The sequence below is a fragment of the Homo sapiens genome, chromosome 5, assembly GCF_000001405.40.
Source record: "Homo sapiens chromosome 5, GRCh38.p14 Primary Assembly".
NCBI lineage: Eukaryota > Metazoa > Chordata > Mammalia > Primates > Hominidae > Homo > Homo sapiens.
This window is the reverse complement of record NC_000005.10, coordinates 131,580,458-131,598,327: the sequence shown is the minus strand read 5'-3', so window position 1 is coordinate 131,598,327 and position 17,870 is coordinate 131,580,458. Positions and strand designations below refer to the sequence as shown.

Genomic DNA, 17,870 nt, shown 5'->3' with positions numbered 1-17,870 from the left:
CTTTACACTGTTTTCCATCTTCCCGTCCTTTTTTCTGTCTGTGTTTCAGTCTCCCATTTTCTACTGCCTTATTTTCTAATTTGTGAATTTCTGTCTTCTGCTGTTTCTAGTCTAAAATACCCACTCATGTGAATTTTTAAGTTTTAATTGTAGTTTTTCAATTCTAGATTTTCATTTCTGTTTCATAGATACCAGTTCTTTGGTTGAATCCATCATCTGTTTTCCTTTTTTCTTGAACGTAATAAATATAGCAGGTTTTTTTTCTGTTGGTTTTAGGTTATTTGGTCTCATTTCCAGCAATGTTGATACTTTTTTTAACTTTTTAATCGACACATTATAGTTGTGTATATTTATGGAGTACAAGTTGGTATTCCAATACAGTTATGTGTTATATAATATACAAATTAGGGTAGTTAGCATATCCATCACCTCATACATTTAATCATTTTTTGGTGGTGAAAACATTCAAAAGCCTCTCTTCTAGCTATTTTGTAATATACAGTACTTTACTGTTAACCATAATAATCCTACTGTGCAATGGAACACCAGAATTTATTTTTCTTATTTTGTTGTAACTTTGTACCCACTACCCAACCTCTCCTCATCTTTCTCTCCCACCTCCCCACTCCAGTCTCTGGTAACCACAGTTCTACTCCACTTCTATGGTATCAACTTTTTATTTTTTAGATTCCACGTATAAGTGATATTCTGCAGTATTTGCCTCTCTATGTCTGTCTTATTTCACTTAACATAATATCCTCCAGTTCCATCCATATTGCTGCAAATGACAGGATTTCATTCTTTTCATGGCTGAATGATACTCTATTGAGTATATATACCCCATTTTCTTTATCTGTTCATTCATTGTTGGACACTTGGGTTGAGTCTGTATTTTGGCTATTGTAAAATATGGGAGTGCAGATATTTCTGTAACATACTGATTTCATTTCCTTTGGATATGTATCCAGTAGTAGGATTGCAGGATTACCTAGAAGTTCCATTTTTTTTTTTTTTAGTAACCTCCATATTGTTTTCCATAATAACTACTAATTTACGTTCCCACCAACAGTGTATAAGTGTTCCCTTCTCCTGAAATCCTCGCCAACACTTGTTTTCGTCTTTTTGATGGTAGCCATTCTCACTGGAATGAAGTGGTGTCTTGTTGTGATTTGAGTTTGCATTTCCCTGATGATTAGTTTATTTGAATATTTTTTTATATACCTATTGGCTATTTTTATGTCTTTTCAGAAATGTCTGTTGAGCTATTTTGCCCATTTTTAATCAGTTTTTTTTTGCTATTAAGTTTTTTATATATTCTGGATATTAACCCATTGTCAGAGGTATAGTTTGCAATTCTCTCCTATTTCTGTAGGTTGTCTATTCATTTTGTCAGTTGTTTCCTTTGCTGCGCAAAAACTTTTTAGTTTGATGTAATCAGATTTATCTGTTTTTGTTTCTGTTGCCTGTGTTTTGAGGTCTTCGCTTTAAAAATCCTTGCCTAGCACAGTGTTGTATAGCATTTTCCCCTATTTTCTTCCAGTAGATTTCGTGGTTTCAGGTTTCACATTTAAGTCTTTAATCCATTTTGAGTTGATTTTTGTATATAGTGAGAGGTAGGAGTTTAGTCTTATTCTTCTGCAAGGAGATATACATTTTCTAAGTGTCTTTGGCACCTTTTTTGAAAATCAGTTGTCTGTTTAATTCTGGGATATCCATTCTGCTCTATTGGTCTGTTTTTATGTCAGTACCATGCTTTTTTGGTTGCAGTAGCTTTGTAGTATATTTTGAGGTCTATCGATCTGTCCATTGCTGAAAGTAGGGTATTTGCATTCCCTGCTATTACTCTATTATAGTCTGTCTCTCCCTTTATATCTAATGATATTTGCTTTACAAGCTTGGGCACTCCAGTGTTTGGGGTGTGTGTGTTAATATATACTGTAAATATATATATGAGACACAAATATATATTATATAATGATTATATAATATATATTATAAATAATGTAATTGTTATATCTTCCTGTTGAATTGATCCCTTTATCATTATATAATCACCTTTTCTGTCTCTTTTTACAGTTTTTGACTTAAAGTAAGCATGGCTACTCCTGTTTGCTTTGGCTTTCCATTTGCATGGATGTCTTTTTCTATCCTTTAACTTTTTTTTTTTTTTTTATATGATGGAGTCTCGCACTGCTCCCCAGGGTGGAGCACAGTGGTGCGACCTTGGCTCACTGCACCCTCTGCCTCCTGTGTTCAAGCGATTCTTGTGCTTCAGCCTCCCAAGTAGCTGGTATTACAGGCGCGTACCACCACACCCAGCTAATTTTTGTATTTTTTAGTAGAGACAGGGTTTCGCCATGTTGGCCAGGCTGGTCTTGAACTCCTGACCTCAAGTGATCTGCCTGTCTCAGCCTCCCAAAGTGCTAGGATTACAGGCATAAGCCACTGCACCCAACCTCTGTCCCTTAACTTTCAATCTATGTCTTTAACAGTGAGGTGAGTCTGTTATACGCAGCATACATTTGGGTTTTATTATCCATTCAGCCATTCTATATCTATTAATTGGAGGAGCTTACCCAGTTACATTCAAGGCTGTTATTTATAGGTAAGGATTTATTCCTGCCTTTGTGTTAATGGTTTTCTGGTTGTTTTATAGATTTTTTTTTCTGTAGCCTTCTTTCTCTCTTGTTCATCTCTGTGGTTTTGTGGCTCACTGTGGTGCTATACTTTGTTTCCTTTCTCTTTCTCCTTTGTGTATCTGCTGTACTTACTTTATGTTTACTATAGAGCTAGCATAAAGACTCTTGTTATAATGCACTATTTTAAGCTGATAGCAAATTAACTTTGGTCTCTGTATTACTCCATTCTCACGCTGTCATAAAGAACTACCTGAGACTGGGTAATTTGTGAAGAAAAGAGGTTTAATTTACTCACAGTTCCACAGGCTTCACAGGAAGCATGAGTGGGAGGTCTTAGGAAACTTACAATCACAGCAGAAGGTGAAGGGGAAACAAGCACTCCTTACCACGGTGAGCAGGAGACAGAGAGAGAATGCGATGGGGGGAAATGCCACACTTAAACCATCAGATCTTGTGGAACTCACTGTCATGAGAACAGCATGGGGGAAAATCTGTCCCCATGATCCAGTCGCCTCCCACCAGGTCCCTCCCCTGACACATGAGGATTACAATTCAACATGAGATTTGAGTGGGGACATAGAGCCAAACCATATTATTCCACCACTGGCCCCTCCCAAATCTCATGTCCTTCTCACATTTGAAAACCAATCATGCCTTCCCAGCAGTCCCCCAAAGTCTTAACTCAATCCAGCATTAACTTAAAAGTCCAAGTCCAAAGTCTCATCTGAGACATGGGAAGTCCCTTCCACCTATGAGCCTGTAAAATCAAAAACAAGTTACTTCCAAAATACAATGGAGATACAGGCATGGGGTAAATGCTCCTGTTCCAAATGGTAGAAATTGGCCAAAATAAAGGGGCTACAGGTCCCATGCTAGTCCGAAACCCAGCAGGGCAGTCATTAAATCTTAAAGCTTCCAAATAACCTCCGTTGACTCCATGTCTCACATCCAGGGCACCCTGAGGCAAGTGGTGGGCTCCCAAGGCCTTGAGCAGCTCTGCCCCTGTGGCTCTGCAGGGTACAGCCCCTGTGGCTACCTTCATGGGCTGGCGTTGAGTGCCTGTGGCTTTTCTAGGCTCCTAGTGCAAACTGTGGTTCTACCATTCTGGGGTCTGAAGGACAATGGCCCCCTTTTCGCAGCTCCACTAGATAGTGCCCCAGTGGGGACTCTGTGTGGGGGCTCCAACCCCACATTTTCCCTCTGCACTGCCCTAGTGGAGGTTCTCCATGAGGGCTCTGCCTCTACAGCACACTTCTTCCTGGACATCCAGGCATTTCCATACATCCTCTGAAATCTGGGCAGAGATTCCCAAACCTCAACTTTTGACCTCTGCGTACCCGCAGGCCCAACACCATGTGGAAGCCGCCAAGGCTTGAGGCTTGCAGCCTCTGATTCAATGGCTTGAGCTATACTGTTGGCCCCTTTTGGCCACACAGTTTTAAACTAGCAAATCTTGTGAGAGCTCACTATCATGAGAACAGCATGCGGTAAATCTGCCCCCAGATGGAGCTGGAGCAGCTGGGATGCAGGGTACCATGTCCTGAGGCTACACAGAGTAGCAGGGTCCTGGGCCCAGCCCATGAATCATTTTTGGTTGGCCTCTGGGCCTGTGATAGGAGAGGCTGCCTTGAAAGACTCTGAAATGCCCTGGAAACATTTTCCCCATTGTGTTGGCTATTAACATTTGGCTCCTTTTGTGCACATTTCTGCAGCGGGCTTGAATTTCTCCCCAGAGAATGGGGTTTTCTTTTCTACCACATTATCAGGCTGCAAATTTTCTAAACTTTTATGCTCTGCTTCCCTTTAAAATATAAGTTCCAGTTTCAGATAATCTCTTTGTTCATGCATATGAACGTACACTTTTAGAAACAATCAGATCACCTCTTGAATGCTTTGCTGCTTAGAAATTTCTTCTCCCAGATACCCTAAATCATGTCTCAAGTTCTAAGTTCCATAGATCTGTAGGGCAGGGGCAAAATGCCACCAGTCTAATTGCTAAAGCATAGCAAGAGTGACCTTTACTCCAGTTTCCAGTAAGTTCCTCATCTCCATCTGAGATCACCTCAGCCTGGACTTCATTGTTTATATCACTTATCAGTATTTTGGTCAAAAGCATTCAACAAGTCTCTAGGAAGTTCCAAACTTTTCCACATCTTTTCTGTCTTTTTCTGAGTCCTCCAAACCATTCCAGCCTCTGCCCGTTACCCAGTTCCAAAGTCACTTCTACATTTTCAGGTATCTTTGTAGCAGTGCCCCACTATTACTAATAATTTGTATTTCTATTATTGCACATATAATTATAGCAAAATTAGAAAACATAGGCAGTGAGAAAAACTTCATCTGAAACTTTGTTGTGAAGAATAAGAATGATTTCTCTGTGGTAAATTCCTTGGGATAACATTGTGGAGCTAAAGGTTATGACATCCTTGTGGCTTGTGCTGAAGATTCCTATATTGATTTGGAAAAAGGGTTTTGGTGATTTTGATTTGTAGTATTAGTAAGCAGTGAATAAATTTTTATCACAGCCCCTGTAAAATGGATACTATATGTGGATTTGGTTAGTATTTTAGAGTTGTTTTCATTTGCATTTTCTGTTTACTAGTGACTCTGTGTTCTGTGTAGCTGTTAAGAATTGTCTGTTTTAATCTTCTGTTCATTTACTACTTGAAATAGTAATGCATTTCTGTGAGTACTGATACCTATTACAGGTATTATCTTTAATTGTATCACATTTGAAAATTATTTTCTGTTCATCTTTTTGTTGTATTCAAGTTTTAACTTGTATGTGCTAATATACTTCAGAATTAAATGTTATTTTCTTCTACAAGTGTGATACAATTCTTCTGTTTTCTTTTTTTCTAGGAAACATGTTTCTTAATTGCTTTCTTAGCTTTAAAGCTTTAATTAAACTGAAATTTATTTCAAGGAACAGTATAAACAATGATTGTTGTTTTTTGCTAAAATGTATTTCCAAAATACTTTATTCACTTTAAGTATTGGTGTTTTATAGTATGTATCTTAAGATAGTGATTATACTTTTATTTCACATAAACGTGGTCTGTATAAAACCTTAGGCAACAGGCAAAATATTCCAAATTTCCAGGTAGTGTTACTTCATTTTTAATTATTTGTACTATTATCAGAATATATTTCTTATTGAATTCATATACATATGAACATGTGTGTTGTTTTGCTCATTTATTTACTTATTTATTTAAACAGTTCAGAAACGATTGCCAGATGTTGGTATATCCTACTTTCTGGATCTGTGCTTGTGAAAGGCTCCATGGTCTTGCCTCCTTGCAGGTACGTTTACATTTGCTATATGGCAGGCAAAGTTAATGTTAAACTATTTTGTATAGGATGTATATTTTCTTTCAGTAAGTGATACATCTTTTAAATGTCTTTGCTTGTTGGCACCATTGGAAATACTTGGCAGGAATCAGTTAATCTTTTGTTATTTCTGAGGGTATAATCTGTAAGCTTACACCATGACATGATATCTTCTTCCTGTCTGAAAATTAGTTTTATGGGGCTGGGCACGGTGGCTCACACCTGTAATCCCAGCACTTTGGGAGACTGATGCGGGCGGATCACCTGAGGTCGGGAGTTCGAGACTAGTCTGACCAATGTGGAGAAACCCCGTCTCTATTAAAATACAAAATTAGCTAGGTGTGGTGGCGCATACCTGTAATTCCAGCTACTCAGAAGGCTGAGGCAGGAGACTCGCTTGAACCTGGGAGGTGGAGGTTGCCGTGAGCTGAGACCACGCCATTACACTCCAGCCTGGGCAACAAGAGCGAAACTCCATCTCCAAAGAAAAAAAAATTAGTTTTATGTACGATTTGATCTGATTTATCTAATTGGTTTTTGATTCATTGCTGTTATTGGGTGTAGAGAGGTGATATAATAGTTAAGAAATTGGTTTTTGGAGTAAATCAACTAGATTAAAATTCTGATTCCATCACTAGTTATGTGACTTTGGACAAATTTTAGTTTTCTTGGCTGACAAATGGGAATAATAATGGTACCTACTTAAGTATTGTCATGAGGTGTTAGGAAACTACTACAAATGTTCTCAACAGAAGTCTATAAGGGTTCACACTCTGGAGCCAGACTTCATGAGTTCATATCTGCTCTACTGTTTCTTGGGCAGATTACTTAATTTCTTTGTGCCTTACTTTGCTCATTTGTAAAATGAGCATAATAATACAACCTCTTTCATAGCATAAGCTAGTTCTGAGAAATAAATGACTTACTCTACATAAAGCTCTTAGAACAGTGCCTGGCTGTTAGAAGTAATTGTTAATTATTTTAACTATTAGGTAAAAGAGAAGGGTGGTAGAAAGAAGGTCAGTTGTGGAATTCTGTTAGTAATTATTAAGATTTTAGGGCCTCAACGTATGCTTTAGTGACATAAAAATGTAATTTTTTGTGACTTTTTTCCCAAAATGTTGAGAAGAAATTTCTAGGCTTTTAAAGTAAGACTTCCAATTGTAGTTAATTTAGTGGCATAACTATTTAACATAAATATCAGGATATGGGACATCTCAATTTAAATATCATTTTAGAAGTCATGCCTTGACTCCTGAAACTTTACATCATTGGCCTTTGGTTAAATGAAATGTGCTAATTGACCAGTTGAATAACACATATAGTTGACTGTATTTATAAATATATAGTAGTTCTTGGCTTTTTTTGAGCTTTTTGGCCATTGTTCCTTTTCCCTGTATTTGTGAAACTCACATTAATGAATTTGTATTGTTAGTCCCTGAGAACTGAATATGCTGGATTGATATTGCCTATGGTTATATTTTAAGATTATTAGTATTTTTCTGTTGAACACTCCTGCTGTTCTGAATGGTCAAGATCTTTGTTATGAGGACTTTTAATAGCCCTTAATCAACTGCAATAATTCACTACTAGTTTGTGATCAAGACAATGAAGTTTATCTTTTTAAGTAAATAATCAGAATGTTTGAGATTTTAGAAAAATCATGGTATGCATTAATGTAATCATAAACTTCACAGGAAACATGATTATGGAAGTTTAATCTTTATTCTAAAGAATAATACTGATTAGGGAATTTATCTTTTGTGTGAAAGATTTATAATAGGCTATTGTAGGTTCATTTTTAGGATTTGTGAGTTACTATAACAAATAAACTACCTGGAATAATGCTTAGCATATATTAAGCATCAAGTAATTTTTGGCTTCTTCAGTCAGAATACAGAAACCATACCGTAATTGGAACAAGTGAAGTTTGATTTTTTTATTATTATGATTTTTTAAATTTGAGACAGAGTCGCTGTTGCCCAGGCTGGAGGGCAGTGGCATGATCTTGGCTCACTGCAACCTGCGCCTTCTGGGTTCAAGCAATTCTGCCTTAGCCTTCCGAATAGCTGGGATTACAGGTGTGTGCCACCACACCCAGCTAATTTTTGTATTTTTAGTAAAGACAGGGTTTCACCATGTTGGCTAGACTGGTCTCAGGCTCCTGACCTCAAGTGATCTGCCCGCCTTGGGCATTACAGTGCTGTGATTACAGACATGAGCCACTGTACCTGGCCTGAGCAGGTAAAGTTTAATTTTAAAATTAAACTAGTTCAAGGGATTAGCTACTAAGAAGGATAAAGCAGAATACCCTACAGCTGAGGGCGAGTTCCCAAAGACAAAACAAACTTGAAAGGGAGACAGACCCCTTCCTCACGACTAGAGTTGAGACTTGGTTGAAGAATGTTAGTTGCAGCCCAATAAATAGCAGAGACATTCACTGGGTTGCTCTGGGACAGAGCTGGTCCACAGTTGTCTGGTCAAGGCTGGCAGGAAGGGGAAGGGAACTGCTGACCAGGAGTGGCACTTAGGAGACCCCCCTTACCAGGATGCAGATGGCCCCTGAAGCTGGGGACAGGAAACAGAAGCCCTCCAATTGCAGAGGAAAGACTTTCTTACTGCAGTGTTACTCTAGCACCCTCTGCTGACAAAACTGTAACATTTTCAGCTAGCAAAGGAGAACATTTACACAATTCTCATCCTTATCACAAAGTATGGCAATAAAGGGTAGATTTGAAGCTGAGAGCCAGTATGTTTGGAGAGGCAGTAAATAACTGTCACAGTCCACTCCCCTGGCTGCTCAGCTTCCTTATGAATGCTTCTAAACACACTTGAAATTCCATTCAACAATCTGTGTCTACGTAACAAGACAAAACTATCCTTTATACAAATGGAGTTCTTACCCTCTCCCCCAAATAAGGAGACACACAACAACAATCATTGCTAGCTATATTTGTATGTAATCTGTCATAGTGCCTCTGAATATTCTGTTAACTAAAGACTACCTTATAAAGTTTACCTTCAATATCTTATACTATATATATAGTAAGCAAAGAGAAAATGCAAAAAGCTACTTACTACAGTCTTTGTTTCTATAATGGGACACAAGGCTATAGTTCATATCTCTGTCTTTCACTACCCATTCAGTATTTCTTGCCTTAACTAAAACTTCAGCTGTTCTGTGTCCTTTACTTTGTGATTGGAACAAAACTTTAATTTTGATGTGTCTTCAACTATCCTGCCTTTTTCTTAGTTGCTGTAGTTTTTCATTAACCTTTTTTTTTTTAAGACAGAGTCTCACTCTGTCACCCAGGTTGGAATGCAGTGATGTGATCCCAGTACACTGCAATCTCTGCCTCCCGGGTTCTGGCAATTCTCCTGTCTCAGTCTCCCAAGTAGCTGGGATTACAGGCATGCACCACCATGCCCGGCTAATTTTTATACTTTTTGTGGAGACAGGGTACCATGTTGGCCAGGCTGGTCTCAAACTCTTGACCTCAAGTGATCTGCCTCCCTTGGCCTCCCAGAGTGCTAGGATTACAGGTGTGAGCCACCTCGCCTGGCTGTTTTCCATTAATCTTTATTGTTTTTGTTGTTGTTGTTGTTGTTTTTTAAGACGGAGTCTCACTCTGTTGCCAAGGCTGGAGTGCGGTGGCTCAGTCTCGGCTCACCTCAACCTCTGCCTCCCAGGTTCAAGTGATCCCTCTGCTTCAGCATCCCAAGTAGCTAGGACTGTAGGTGTGCACCACCACACCTGGCTAATTTTTGTATTCTTAGTAGAGATGAGGTTTCACCATGTTGGCCAGGCTGGTCTCGACCTCTTGACCTCAAGTGATCCACCTGCGTTGGCCTCCCAAAGTGCTGGGATTACAGTGTGAGCCACCCTACAGTGTGAGCCACCGCACCTGGCCCCATTAATCTTTAATAGTGGGCATGGCAATACTAACAGGAGCATAAGAGAATGGCCTAAGTTCCAGATGTAGTCTTTCTTGCCTACATTTTGTGCAGTAACCCATTTTTCCTCTGCTAATTGGAATCAGTCACGTGGGCCAGTAGACTAACCTCTTTTGCTGCCTGTTGGTTTAATGACTAGGTAGAAGTCTCTAGTTCAGTGGAACCATTGTTGTGTTTACTGGTAGAAGCAATACTCTTTTGTACACTAAGCCTCCAAACCAGCAGAGCTTAGAGTTGTTGGGAGGGGAAGCAAAAATAGTGTGAATGAGTTTATGAGAGGAAAATAAATCTCAGGACCCCCAAATCACTAAGTCAAAGAGAAAAGTCAAGCTGGGAACAGCATCCAGCAAAACTGCCTCCCATTTTATTCCTAAATAAGATAGCTACAAAAATTTAAAAAAAAAAAAAAGCTACATTGCTCCCTCATGATTTGTCCATAAGGAAATACCTTGTGGACCTAAGATCTTTACTCTAAACAGACTGAGGGAGCAAACCCAGCAAGGCCTTTCCAGATTTTTCTTGGCCTATGTAGCATTCCTTCCTTCCAGGTAGGGGGCAGGACCCCTCTGGAATGAGGGTTTTCAAGGGAGAAAGGAGAGTAACATTTCTAGGTTTTATGGCTTCCTTTGGGGAAGAGGAGTTCTACTTTCTATGACTCACCTTGGGAAAGAGGTTTCTGTTACTCACTTTGAGGGAGAAAGAGGGGCAAGAGAAGGTCAGAGACTTTGCCTTTGAGTCGTTTCAATATCCTTTAAAGAACTCACCGTGCCAAAGCACCATATTTTGGAGTATTGTTTTCTGAGTTCCAACAACTCTCTAGTTTTAGCTCTTTTATTGAGAAATATAATATGGGGAAAAGTGCAGATAACATAAATCTACATGTTAGTGAGTTACTATACATTGAATGTTTGTCTAATCACTACCCATATCAAGAAATTGAACATTGTCATTACCTAGAAGCAGCTTCCATGCCTTTTCTTAAATCTACTCTCTTACTTTTCCTCAACACCAGTTTCCTGAATTTTAATCAGTCTTGTATCTCTGAAGAGTTTTGGCCTGTGGATATGTATACCTTAGTTGAGGGTTATTATAAGTAATGCAGCTGTGAACATTTTTGTATATTAGATGCACATGTGGATACATTTCTGTTGTATATACTTAACAAGGAATTGTTGGCTCACAGTGTTGTAGGACTTCCTTTTAGTTCAGCTAAGAGCCGGGTCTTGTTACACAGCCATGAAATACTAGGCTCACAGACACTTTGAAGGATGAGAATAATGGAATCTATTGGGCAAAAAGGAAAAAGGGGAAACAAGAATTCTCTGCAAAACCAATTTCTGCTAGTATGCTTCCCACCTGGCAGATTGAATCCCAGGTACCATGCAGGAAGAGGAGGGGCCAGGCTCTTCCTCACAGCAAAGGGCACAGACTTCTGTGGCTCCACCCCTGTGTGTGCTTCTCCCAGTGTGCAGGCCAGTTAGAATTTTTCTGGGAACCCCTTTACACTTGACTGTCTCAACAGGGTGTGCCTACATTAAGCTTTGTTAATTCCAAGTTGCATTCCAAATTGATGCACTAATTTACACACCCACCAGTGGTGTGTGAGAGTTCCCATTGTTCCACATTCTAACCAACACTTAGTAATACAAGTCTTTTTACTTTAAAGTTTTTGGCTGCTTAATTTCAGTCATTCTTTTCAATTTTATAGTTTTGATTTGCATTTTAATGACTGCCGATGAATACATTTTCATTAGAATGACTTTTTTTTTTTAAGATAGAGTCTTACTTTGTCACCCAGGCTGGAGTGCAGTGGCACAATTTTGGCCCACTGCAACCTCCACCTCCCAGGTTCAAGCAATTCTCCTGCCTAAGCCTCCCAAGTAGATGGGACCACAGGTGCGTGACACCACGCCCAACTAAATTTTGTATTTTTAGTAGAGACAGGGTTTCACCACTGCTGGCCTCAAGTAATCCACCTGCCTTGGCTTCCCAAAGTGCTGGGATTAGAGGCTTGAGCCTCCATACCCAGCCTAGAATGACCTTTTTTGTAAAGTGACTTCTCAGGTCTGTTCCTCATTTTCCTAATAAGTTGTCTTTTTGTTTTTGAGATGTAGAAATTTTTTATATATTCTGAATAAGAAACCTTGCTTGGTTATTTTTGTTGGAAATACTTTTCCCCACTCTGTCTTATTCATTGTCGTATTCATTCTGTTAGTAACGTCTTTGGATGAACATGAGCTCTTAATTCTAATGTAGAAAAATTTGTCTTTCCTGTTTCTGAGGTTGTGAACCCCAAAAATCTGAGACAGGTCTTAGTTCATTTAGAAAGTTTATTTTGCCAAGGCTGAGGACGTGTGCCTGTGACACAGCCTCAGGAGGTCCTCATGACATGTGCTCAAGGTGGTCAGAGCACAATTTTGTTTTATACGTTTTAGGGAGACATAAGACCTCAATCAACATATGTAAGATCAGCATTGGTTCAGTCTGGAAAGGCAGGACTACTTGAAACAGAGAGGGGGCTTCCAGGTCATAGGTAGATAAGAGACAAATGGTTGCTTTTTTTGTTTGTTTTTTGGGGACGGAGTTTCGCTCTTGCCGCCCAGGCTGGGGTGCAATGGCGCGATCTTGGCTCACTGCACCCTCCACCTCATGGGTTCAAGCTATTCTCCTGCCTCAGCCTCCCCAGTAGCTGGGATTACAGGTGCCCGCCACCACACCCAGCTAATTTTTATATTTTTAGTAGAGACGGGGTTTCACCATCTTGGCCAGGCTAGTCTCGAACTCGTGACCTCAGGTGATCCATCCACCTCGGCCTCCCAAAATGCTGGGATTACAGGTGTGAGCCACTGTGCCCAGCTGGTTGCATTTTTGTTTTTTTTTGAGTTTCTGATTAGCCCCTCCAAAGGAGGCAATCAGGTATGCATTTATCTCAGTGAGCAGAGGGGTGACTTTGAATAGAATGGGAGGCAGCTTTGCCCTAAGCAGTTTCCAGCTTGACTTTTCCCTTTAGCTTAGTGATTTGGGAGGCTCAAGATACTTTGCTTTCACAAGGCCATGGAGATATATATGTATGTATGTATGTATGTATGTATGTATGTATGTATGTATGTATAGTTTTTTTTTTTTCTTATTTTCTAGAACTTTTCTTGTTTTCCTTTCACAGTTAAATCTGTAGTCTACCTGGAATTGAGTTTTGGGTATGGTATAATGTTGCGTCGTTTTCCATAGGGATACCTAGATGTCCTTTTCTCACTCATTTAGTGCCACCTTTTATGTAAATCAAATATCCACATATGTGTGTGCCAGTTTTAATTTTCATGTTTTTGATGAATAATGATGTTGAACACTTTTCCTTATGCCCTTATGCTTATTGGCCATTGCTTTCTGTTTTTTCTTTAATAAAGTATCCCTTAAATTTTGTGTGCCTGTTGTTAAACTCCTGTTATTACTGTAACTGTCCAGTGGATTCTTCCTGCCCACCTGTACAGACAAAACCAATTCACTGAGACCATGGCATTGTAATAAAGAGTTTAATTGACACAAGGCTGGCCACGCCCTGTGGGAGATGGAGTTATTACTCAAATTCATCTCTCCCAAAATTTGGAGGTTAGGATTTTTTAAGGATAGTTTGGTGGGCCAGGGAATCTGGATTCTGGGTGAAGCCACAGGACTGGTTAGCAGGAGGTCTGTGGGTCCTGGTGGCCACTGATGAATCATCAGAAATGCTAAAAACCTGAAAAGACATCTCAATAGGCCAATCTCAAATTCTACAATAGCACTGTTACTTGCAGGAGTAATTGAGGGAGTTGCAAATCTTGTGACTTTTGGAATAATGACTGGTAATCATTTATGTCTACAGCTTAGCAGAATTCAGCTCCTCATCCTTGTAATCTGGTGGTCTTTCTTTCATTAGCTTTACAAAAGCAGTTTAGTTATCATTTAAACTATAAATGTTTCCTAAAGTTAGGGTGGCCGGGGCCAAGGAATGATTGAGGGCAGTTTAGAGGTTAAAGGAAAGCTGGGTATTGGTTAGATCAGATCTCTTTCACTGTCATAATTTTCTTATGGTTATAACTTTGCAGAGGCAGTTTCATTATTATTCTATAAGAATCTTTCTACATCCAGGATGCAAGCTGTCTGTTAACCATTTTATCCCATTAATTTGACTTGCATTTTTATTTATTTTTAAAACTTTATTGAAGTATAACTGACATACACTGAACAGCACGATTTATAGTATACAGTTTGATAAGCTTTGGCATATATAAACACATGTAAAACCACCAGTATTACAAAGATAATAAGCTCTATCACTAGAAAAAGTTTCCTCATGCCACTTTGTAAACTTTCCCTCTCATAGTTCCCTGCTCCCTTCCTTGGTCCCAGGCCATTACTCATTTTTCATCAATGTAGATTAGTTTACATGTTATAAAATTTTTGTGTAAGGTGAAACATACAGTATGTACTCTTTTCTCATTCAGCTTCTTGCACTCAGTAAAATTATTTTGAGGTTTATCCGTGTTATGTGTATCAATATTTCATTTCTTCTTAATGCAGTGTTCTCTCATGGATGTTAACAGGAAAACCAAACTCTGTAAAATATCTTAAAGAGATTTATTCTGAGCCAGTATGAATAACCATGGCCAGGGGAAAAGACAAATTCAGGAAGCCTTGAGTAAGTGGCCCTAAGGTGGTTGGGCTACAGTTTGGTTTTATATATTTCAGGGAGGCAGGAGTTAAGAGGCAAAGACACAAATCAGTATGTGGAAGGGATACAATTAGTTCAGCCCAAAAAGGCAGGATGTCTTGAAGCAGGGGGTTATAGATTATAGGTGGATCCAGAGAACCTTAATTGGTTAAAGGAGTAAGGCTCTGTCGAAAATTTGGAATCAGCAGAAAGGAATGTTTAAGTTAAGAATGCTATGTCCAAGTCAGTTACAATAAAATGACCTGTTCAGTGACATTGTTGGTCTGCAGGTGTGACTTAATCCTTGCCTTGCATGGCCTTAGGTCTTATTTATAATTTGGCATCTTATTGCCACAAAGGGTCTGTTTTGTCAGTCTTATGATCTCTGTTTTAAAAAACAATTAATACTCATAAGTTGTGTCTAAACTTCACAATGGAGGGGATATAACAAGGCATGTCTGACCTCCCTTCCCATCATGGCTGGGAACTCAGTTTTCAAGGTTTCTCTGGGGTGCCCCTGGCCAAGAGGGGGTCCATTTAGTCGATTGGGGTTTAGGATTTTATTGTTAGTTTATATGGATGTTCCACTATTTGTTTAGCATTCAACTGCTGATGGACATTTGAGTTGTTGACTGTTATTGACTATTTTGCAAAGAATGTTGTTATGGACATTTGTGTACAAGGTATATGGTCATATACTTTCATCTCTCTGCATAATATGTAGGAGTAGATGGCTAGATTTTGTACGTGTTTATGTGAATACATACTTTCATATATTTTGAAAAATACCTAGCAATAAGTTATATGGTCGATGCATGTTTAACCTTTAAGAAAGTGCCTTACTCTTCTCCAAAGCTGTATCATTTTATATTCTCACCGGCAGTCTATGAGAATTCATATCTTTTATGAAGTGTCTCTGAGCCTTTGACCCATTTTTGATAATAAAATTCTTATTTTGTGCTTCAAAAGTTCTGTATGTGCTTCAAAAGTTCTTGTATGCTATATGTAAGTCCTTTAACAGGGATATAATTTGCAAATATTTTCTCCCTATTTGTGCATTGTATTTTCCCTCTTAATTGTGTTTCAAAGAGCAGAAGTACTTAATTTTGATGTTAAGTTTATCATTTTTTTCCCTGAATGGACTATGTTTTGGGGGTCATATGTAAAATCTGCTATTAACCCAAGGTTGCAAATAATTTTCTTAATTTTTTTTTCTGGAAGTTTTACAGTTTTAGCTTTTACTATGATCTATTTAGGTGTGTGATCTATTTAAACCAATTTTTGTATATGATATGAGGTGTGGATCTAATTTTATCTTTTTGCCTGTGCATCCTCAATTGTTCCAGCACCATTTGTTGATGAAAATATTTTTTCTCTTCTGGATTGCCTTTGCACCTTTATTAGAATTTAATTGACAGTGTATTTGTGGGTATATTTCCCAACTTTTTGTTTCACTTATTTTTCTATCTTGATACCATACCACATTATCCTGATTACTGTAGCTTTATAATAAATCATGAAATCAGGTGGTATGTGTTACCTGCATCCATATAAGAGACCATCTGAGCAGGCTTAGTGTGAGCAACAAGGCTATTTATTCACTTGGATGCAGGTAGGCTGAGTCTGGGAAAGGAGTCAGTGAATGGTGGTGGGATTATCATTGGTTCTTATAGGTTTGGGATAGGTGGTGGAGTTAGGAGCAATTTTTTGCCGGCAGGGGATGGATATTACAAAGTACATTCTCAAGGGCTGGGAGGATGTTACAAAATACATTCACAAGGGTGAGGAGGATGTTACAAAGTAACATACTTTCACAAGGGCAGGGAGGGTGTATTGTCACAAGGGTTGGTGGGGAGGAATGTTACAAAGTACATTCACAAGGGCAGGGAGGAATGTTAACAAAGTACATTTGCAAGGATGGGGAATATCACCAAGTACATTATCACAAGGACTGGGGGAATGTCACCATGACTTGACCATGGTGTGCCCAGCTCAGAGGACCTTACATTCCTGTCTTTTTATGTTAATAATGAAGAAATAAAATGAAAAAGAGTAGTGAAAACTTGGGGTGAAAATTTTGGGGGCGGTATGGAGGGGTGATGGGTGAGGTTTCTCAGGGCTGCTTTGAGCTGGATTAGGGGCGGCACGGGAACCTAAGTGGGAGAGATTAGACTGAAGTAAGATGTTGGGGTAAGGGGTGATATTGTAGAGTTAAAAGCAGCATTTGTTGTGTAGAGTGATTAGTGATAGCCTGGATGCAGTTTCGTAGGAATTGAGAGATTAATCGGAAGACCCAAGGCCTGAGTAAGAAGAGAAGGAGGAAGATAGGTATTAGAGGACTAACAATTGGAAGAAGCCAGGATACTCAGTTAGAGAGTAGCCAGGTGGGTCCAGTGTAATTAGTTGCCTGATTAGTGAGTTTTTGAGCTCTGTCTTTGAGTTTTTTGATGTTATATACCAAGCCAGATTAATTTAAGTAAAAACAACACTTTTCATTAAGAAATATACAGAGTCCTCCTTTTTCAGCAGTGAGTAAATCAAGGCCTCGGCGGTTCTAGAGGACAGCTGCGGCTAAAGAGTCAACCTGAGCTTGGAGGACAGATAAAGTTTGTGATATGTCTGTAATGCTAGCAGAGAAGTCATTGGAGAGGCTGCGGAATGTTGTGACAGAGGTTGAGATGCCTGCTATTCCAGTTCCAAGTCTGGTAGTGGAGGCAGAAAGTCCTAGATCCACAAGTAAAGGGATTACTGGGATGACTCTTTTTGTCGTGTTGGTGTCATGAGGGAGACAGGCAGTTGTTCATTCCCATCTGCAAGCTGGATTTTGGGGGTAAGGAAGACTAGAGTACATGTGCCCTTCCAGTTGGCGGGTAGGCACATGTGGGTGGAAGAGGCACATAAAAAGAAGAGACCTTGTGTCAGTCAGAACTGGAAATGTAAAGTGAAAAGGTGAGAGGGTGTACTGCAAGAGGAGTCCTGCACCCCAAATCCTAGAGATCCAGCAAGGGCAGCAGCCATTAGAGGTTGTAATGGGAACTGATGTTGCAACTGCGTAGAGGGAGAGGTTCTGTTCTCATGGTGTATGAGAAAACACATAGTGTCTATGAATAACCTTTCACTGCTATTCACCGTGAGAGGTGACAACGTGCTGGCGGCCCTCTCTCGCTCTCACCGCCTCCTCGGCATCTGCTCTGGCCACGCTTGAGGAGCCCTTCAGCCCGCCGCTGCACTGTGGGAGCCCCTCTCAGGGCTGGCTG

At 39.5% G+C, this 17,870-nt stretch overlaps 1 protein-coding gene across 6 annotated transcripts in view; it reads left to right on the top strand.

Moving 5' to 3' along the window:
* The window catches only part of RAPGEF6 (Rap guanine nucleotide exchange factor 6), a 211,309-nt gene that overhangs the window by 36,902 nt on the left and 156,537 nt on the right, over positions 1-17,870 (top strand). For all 6 annotated transcript variants that reach the window (NM_016340.6, NM_001164388.2, NM_001164386.2 and 3 more), the window contains exon 4: positions 5,862-5,945. In NM_016340.6, the coding sequence (NP_057424.3) occupies positions 5,862-5,945 (84 nt within the window). The remainder of the gene's footprint in view (positions 1-5,861; positions 5,946-17,870) is intronic.